The 7592-nt window shown below is 33.0% G+C and overlaps 1 annotated feature.

Annotated features, from left to right (window-relative positions):
- Positions 1324–2523: an enhancer, noted in NCBI's record as "MED14-independent group 3 enhancer chr5:103652082-103653281 (GRCh37/hg19 assembly coordinates)". NCBI's record gives its function as "activates an origin of replication core promoter dependent on BRD2, BRD4, P300/CBP and CDK7 cofactors, and independent of MED14, by STARR-seq in HCT116 cells {active_cell/tissue: HCT116}" and the evidence as "EXISTENCE:reporter gene assay evidence [ECO:0000049][PMID:35650434]".

Raw genomic sequence — 7592 nt, 5'->3', positions numbered from 1 at the left:
GAAGATGAAGACGAAGCAAGCACACATCTTATCATGGTGAAATGGGAGGTGGGGGGAAGTGCCACACTTTTAAAACATCAGATCTCCTGAGAACTCAGTCACTGTCAGGAGAACAGCATGGGAGAAACCAACCCCCATGAGTCAATCACTTCCCACTAGGTCTTTCCCTCAACGCATGGGGATTACAATTGGAGATGAGATTTGAGTGGGGACACAGAGCCAAACCATATCATGTAATGAAAAAAAATATGCATCTCAGGAATCTGCGTCCTCATATTTTTGTTTTTAAAGAATTTCTATACAAAGTGAGATAAAGTCCTATAAATTTAAAACCATAGTAATAGTTCCCCAATAGTGAGCACAGGCATTAAAAACAATTTCTTGGTGACAAAATATTATACCTTACTTTAAAGTCCAACTGTAATGAAAATTCTTCTAGTATGTATTATTCATTTAGGTTCTATTCTCATTTTCCTTGGATGACCATTCCAAGGGTTAGGGATATGATTATTTGCTATAAAATTTGACTTAGAAATTATTTTTAAAAATGAGGCTTTAACCATTATCATGACAAATTTAAATACTAATTTAAACAAATTAAAATTTCCTTGCAGTTGTTGTTACTACCTTTCAGAAGCCTAATGTGCTCCCTTTGCCTCTCTGCTCTGTAGTCAGCTTCAGGGAGTATCCTGCAAGGCAACTCAAGATTATAAGAGCTTCTGCTGGAAGCTCACATGGAGCAGTTTGGGTAGGTGCATTTGCTCTAAATAATTGCTATGTGTGGCCAAGCATGGTGACTCACACCTGTAATCCTAGTGCTTTGGGAGGCCAAGGCAGGTGGATCACTTGATGTCAGGAATTCAAAGCCAGCCTGGCCAACACGGTGAAACTCCATCTCTACTAAAAATACAAAACAAAATTAGCAAGACATGGTGGCAGATACCTGTAATCCCAGCTACTTGGGAGGCTGAGACAGGAGAATCGCCTGAACGTGGGAGGCAGAGGTTGCAGTGAACCAAGATCATGCCACTGCACTCCAGCCTGGGTGACAGAGTGAGACTCCATCTCAAAAAAAAAAAAAAAAAAAAATTGCTAGGTGTAAGTGATTCTGGATTGGCAATTAGCAATGTGATATTCACTATCTTACTCACCTTAAATTAAGCAGAGGATGCTCTATAGAGCATTTCGCTCCTAGAAACAAGGCATGATAATGCAGATGGAAATTGCTTACTTATTCAGTGGACTCAGATAAGGACTATGAAGGTTAATACCATAATAATCCAAAAAAGTAGGATATTCTTATGCTGTTGCTAGAGATATGGCTCAACCTTCAAATATTAGTGTTAGAAATGTTTGTTCCCCAGTGCCGCAAAGAAATAGCACTTGAGGCCAGGCGCGGTGGCTCACGCCTGTAATCCCAGCACTTTGGAAGGCTGAGGCAGGTGGATCACGAGGTCCAGAGATCAAGACCATCCTGGATAACATGGTGAAACCCCATCTCTACTAAAAATACAAAAAAATAGCCAGGCATGGTGGCAGGAGCCTGTAGTCCCAGCTACTCGGGAGGCTAAGGCAGGAGAATGGTGTGAACCCGGGAGGCGGAGTTTGCAGTGAGCTGAGATCTCACCACTGCACTCCAGCCTGAGTGACAGAGTGAGACTCTGTCCCAAAAAAAAAAAAAAAAAAAAAAAGAAATAGCACTCGAACATAAATTTAATTCTCTCAGCAAGGCCATTTCTGCTTTCTGCAGAAAGGGTGCCTCTTGCAGATGGAACAATGGCAAGAACACACTTGAACAAAGGAAAAGCAGACATATTTATTCCTTACACATTTGGGTGGTCCTTACTGCTGTGTCCTGCATCCATTGGCTGGAGATGGACCTCACAGTCTTAAACTGATAGCCAATTTGCTAACAGCCTAAAACTTTTCTAAATAGGTAAGTGCAAGGGAGAACAAAGAAAGAGAGGAAGTTGCTTATGAAAGGTTTAAGGAAGCAATAACATTTCCAAATAAGGAAGGGCCATAAGCTATGAGCTAAGGCTGGACTGGGCCTGTCCAGACATGCCTGAGTAAGCCAAAGCAACTAACTGGGCTGAAGTGTAAGAACTAATGGTTGATAGGAGGCTTTAGAGTAAGAAGCTATTATTTCTAGTGTCTATTATTTTATTTTTAAACCAAGATGAGCTTTGAAGAGGAACTTTTCTACTTTCTACAATTAGCCAAATTTTTATGGTGACAATCAAAATAAGAATTGAAAAATGATATTTCTTGCTTGTATTAATATTACAATGAAAAATAAACTTGCACGTGCTATCCTTTGAGTGTTTCATTCTGTTAGTGCTGAAATCACATTGCCATAATGGCTTATTTTTAATATGTGGACCTTTATAAGACTGTGTCTTAACCCTGCACATAACGAATAGTGGATAAAATGGATGAAAAGAACTGAAAGTAATGTGAAGCTAGCTTATGCCAGGCCCTGCACCAATGCAGTGAATGAGACTAAAATTCTAAGCCATGTGTATTGGACTAAAAACTACACATTCCATACTATCTCTGTGAAGACAGGGAATTTGTGTAAAACATTTCTTAATTTTATAGCTAAGAAAACTTAGAAAGTGTCACAGAAAAGACTAATGTATTAGTGAAAATTGTAACTCTAGACTACAGGTTACTTAGAATAAAAGAAGATGTATTGAGTTTAATTGAGATTAAGAGTCTTTAATTACGTAAAATGGAATTCTGAATCGTGAGGATCAGGTGACACATTGACTCATATCATTTTACCAGCAGAGCAAAGACCAGAACTCAGAAATGCAAGATAAATGAAATCTGATGGAAATGTTAACATAACTGAAGCAGAGATGGGATAATAGGACTTTAAGAAGTATTTAACTACCATTTTTATATTTAACATTATTATGCCAAAATGGCACCCCTAGAGTATCATTTATAAGCTAGTTCATAGATTTTTTTCTTCACTATTATTTATATTTAAATATAGGTTTGTAAAAAAGATTGCTTATCTATAAACTGAACATATTCTATTACTGATTTACATGCTCTCAGAAAATCAATTTTATTTGGATGACAAATACTATAAACTGCTTTGACCTAAAGGTCAGATATTAAAGAGTGTTGTAAAATATATTTAGCAGCTACCTAAGTTTTTCATCCTGATATATCAGGAAAATTCAAATATCATTGGAAATATAAGAGCACTGGATAAAAATTAATTTTATTAGTATGTGTCAGAAAAAAAAATAGGGATTTTTATATTTAAACTCGCCATAGAAATTTTCTCTCCTAAATATGAAACGTAATTTGTACCTCAACATTAAGTTAGATCTGTTTTGGAAAATATGTGGATGATCAATATTAGAGAAGTGAATTAAAATGTGTTAAGATGAAATTTGACCTAGTTTACGCTTATATTATTCCCAAGCATAAGTAATTACACACAAAAAAATAACTATTTCATCAAATAATTTAAGTATGTAAATCACTAATGTATATAAGCTAGAAAACTTAAGTAAACTCTTCTTTGAAATAATCTTTTCATGAAGACGGGGTTTCCTAAGGGCTTCAGAAAAATTTGATGCAGTGTAACCCAAAGTTACCCTACCATCCTATTTGTTTACACCTGCATGGGGAAGTCCCTCCTGCTATAACACTGGGGTGTGGAATATATAAAGAGACTAATTACTCAAAACCATGCAAATTAGCATATCATTTTTATGCTCTGCTTAGAAAAAAAAGCACTGAGAAACAAACACAAATTGGGAAGTCATATTCTGTATTGTGACGACTTATGTATTCCTGTCCTCTCCTATCCCATGCTCCCAACTCAGGAAGACTTAGTGGAATGCAATGCTAACTATGGGGCTGACAAGATTAAATGATTGAAATTGCCATGGTGGACCCAATAAAAATCATCCCGGTGGGAAAAATGGGAAGACATTTTCATCAATGGAATAAATTGAGAGCCAAACTCCTTGAAGAACTAAAATTTCCACATTTATTTTAAAGTCACTTGTAACTAAACATTTAGCATGTCTGAATAGCACCTAGATTAACTACTTTTGCAAATGAGAAGCAATTCAATTTTTTTCTTATCTGCAAGGAAATCGTTTATTTCACATTATAGGCCTTTCACCTGCAAAATCTCATTTCAAAATTGCTTGTTGATGCATGAGAGAACAAAAGAAAAAAATAAAGATTTTTAAGTGAATGTATTAACTTTTATTTTCTTCCAATTTGGGGACCTAGGACTAATTTATTTGCTTATTGCCAATTTGAAACAAACAAATTTCTCCTCTCTCCTGTGAAAGTCTATCATAATAATTCAGATTCTATGGAGAAACATATTAACACTTTCATCACACAAAATTGATATTTAACCCACTGTTGTAAAAAACATTTACCTGCCCACATAAATTTTTCTTAGTTATAAATGATTTTGTGGTGACACTTGTGACAGATGTTAAAATAAAAACCAAGAAATTATGAACTGTTGATAATAATAATTTAATTAAATCTTAAATCAAAATAACAGGATGTCTCTTTTTGACTACTATATATATATAAAAGCTTTTTTCAGTACCAACAGTTAAACAGCTCTCAGTCATTTCTTCCTCTGGATGACAACATTTAAAATATGCTCTTTTAGGATGTTTATTTTTATAAATATTTTTTATTTTTATAGTTCAGTGGCATTATTCTCACTGTCCTTTGAAAAAGTGCAACAAGCAGCGAAAAGAATTGGACTTTAAAGTAACCTATTGCAATATGGAAGGCAGGGTATCAGTTGGAATGGTATATATTTGGACAGTCATAACTGTGATATTAAAGAGACAGGCCATGCCTGACCTGTTGTTGATATAACCATAGGCTGGCAACACATTCCTTAAGAGCCTCACAACCTTACATCAGTCAAGATTCGTGGAGGACAGATGTTTTCCATCAGAGTGATAGTATTTTTACACTGTTTTCATTAAACTGTCATTTTTTAAACTGCTTCAATTTCAGGCCTCTTTTATCGCTTTGTTAGTTTTAATGTATCTCTCTTTACCTTGGATGACAGGCAGGTGGCTCTGACTTTAATTGCGTGTATACTTGCCAAAAATTGAACTATACACACTTACAGTAATCCTCTGTAAGTTGTGAAAACAATATTGGAACCAGCAGCAGCTTAAAGATGACCAGTTATTCATGGCATGAAGACTGAGAAATATTACGTATGTATTAAAATGCTTTGAAGTGAAACATTTATGCAACTCACTTTGAAAGAATCAATAGCTTTGATATATTAGTGAAGTTGAAAATATTGTTCATTTAACACAAAATGGATCTGAGAGAGAAATAAAATAGGTGTTCCAAACCAACATCTATCTGGCAAACTCAGAAAACACCCTCAGTGCAATTGAACTAAATGATCCTTTCTAAAAGTTCGTCTTTAATGCACAAGGTTAAAGTATTCATTGTAGTTCATTTTGTTGGCAATCATTACTTGAGTTTTCTCATTTAGATGTTTCTCCTTTATCTTATTTATTGTTTGCATGACTTGTGAGATACAACCCTTAGGACCTTAGTTTACATATTGGCTTAAAGAGGAGAATTTATCCCTGAACCAATTATTTGAGAATGGTGGCTGTATCATACATATGTAAAAGAAGCAACTGATGATAGACTCTTTACCACATCAGCTCCTCCTTATTTTGCTCTGATTTTCCTCACACTCTTGTGAAAATGCATCAAAAATACAATTTCTGAGAAGGTTGTTTTAAATGAAATAGTGATCTCCTGAATTTGTAATTTGGTGTACATATTTTAAAAAACTATTAAAAATCAAAATTATGAGAAGACTATATTTAAATGTTAAAAGTCTACATTTTGAATTTCTTAAATTAATATAAAGATATTAAATTACACCTTTATCTCTGTGAGGAGCCATTATCCAGAATGTTTTTTCCCACTGAGCCCACACTTTTCTTTGAAAATCACACTTTTGGCTTACCACAATTATAAGAGTCATTGTTAATATAGTTTCTGATCTTTTTGAAATAAATTTGTACTCTATTAAAATAAACAAATAGTCAAATAGACGTTAGTTAGATATTATCACAATATGAATCAGTCTCTTGAATTGAAATTCATTTTCCAGGTTATATTTTGATTGTGCTGAATGTTTGCTTATGAAAGCAAACACAACTTTGTGATCCTTGTGAATTTACTTCCTAAGTATGCACTAAACAAATAATCAAGAAATTGTCTCTATATAAAAGATGCATTACCTTCCACACTTACTAATGTACACCCTATAATATGAAGTTTAATTACCAAGCTCAATAATTCACAAAGCTAGTAAAAGAAAGATAATGGACAATCACAGTCTAAGTAAAGAGACACAAGGCACAGATATATTTCAGTAATAAAATTAATATAGAATTATAATTAAATAGATCACTTACTAGTTTACACTATAATTTCATTTAACTAAATGATTAAGGTTTATCACCAAGCATCTAATAAAGAGCCTCTTCCCCCATTTGTGGCATATATTGTACAATTTCACAGGTACAAAATGAACTGCCAAGTTACAAAAATCATTGATACTTGTTTTAATTATGAGCAGGAAACTTTCCTGCAAAACAATGAAAAAAATCTGCACTTTCACACAATATTAATTATTAAAATCATTTAGAATTGTATACAACTAATATCTTAGAAGGATACAAAGATTCTCCTGTATGCTCTGTCTAAACTTAAAACCATTTATTGGTATCTGAATTTGAACATAAGAGTAAAAAAGAACTCTGATGTATATAGTTCCTTCACTTATTAAGAAACATTTATTAAGTGTCTGTTATGTATCAATCTTGATGCTAGATGCTTGGAAATATAATAAGAAATTGAAAGGAAGATATAATGTCTGTCTTCATAGATGTTACTATCTGGGGCCCTGTAGAAAATTTTTGAAGATGATCAAGACTTGAAAACCTTTTGGTTATATATATAATTTTATTATTCCTTTATATTTATTTTAAGTTTTTTTGCATTATTATTCCTACATTTTAAAATTGTGCTTTTCTGCAATTTTTGATACATACTTATGTCCTAGAACATAAATTATATCATCATTTGTGTATCATTTGTGTTATAATTGAACCTATTAAATAAAATACAGTATTGGGGCTTGCATACTATCAAACATTTTATGCCAAAACTGAGCTATTCTAAAATAACATAGATTTAAAGAATAAGGCTCTATTCTATGTGTTTTCTAGTTGCACATTAATTTAATTTGATATTGTCCATTAAGATATAGAGATAATTTAATTTTCATCATCTACTAATGTTTTGAAATTTTATGTATGATTCAAATGAAGGAGGATTATATTTTTTATTACTCAATATTAAATCTATTTTTTCATCATATAAATTGACTTCAGCATTTTATTTTCTCTTTATTATGTTAATAGTCACTAATGAATATGAAGAATACAGATATTAACATAAAATGATTTATACTATAGTTTAACAATAATAAACATTACAAAAGAAAAAGATAATGATTGTAGATGTGGGAAACT

The sequence above is a fragment of the Homo sapiens genome, chromosome 5 (assembly GCF_000001405.40).
Source record: "Homo sapiens chromosome 5, GRCh38.p14 Primary Assembly".
Taxonomy (NCBI): domain Eukaryota; kingdom Metazoa; phylum Chordata; class Mammalia; order Primates; family Hominidae; genus Homo; species Homo sapiens.
The sequence above is the reverse complement of the archived record's forward strand: the minus strand, read 5'-3'. Positions and strand labels throughout refer to the sequence as shown.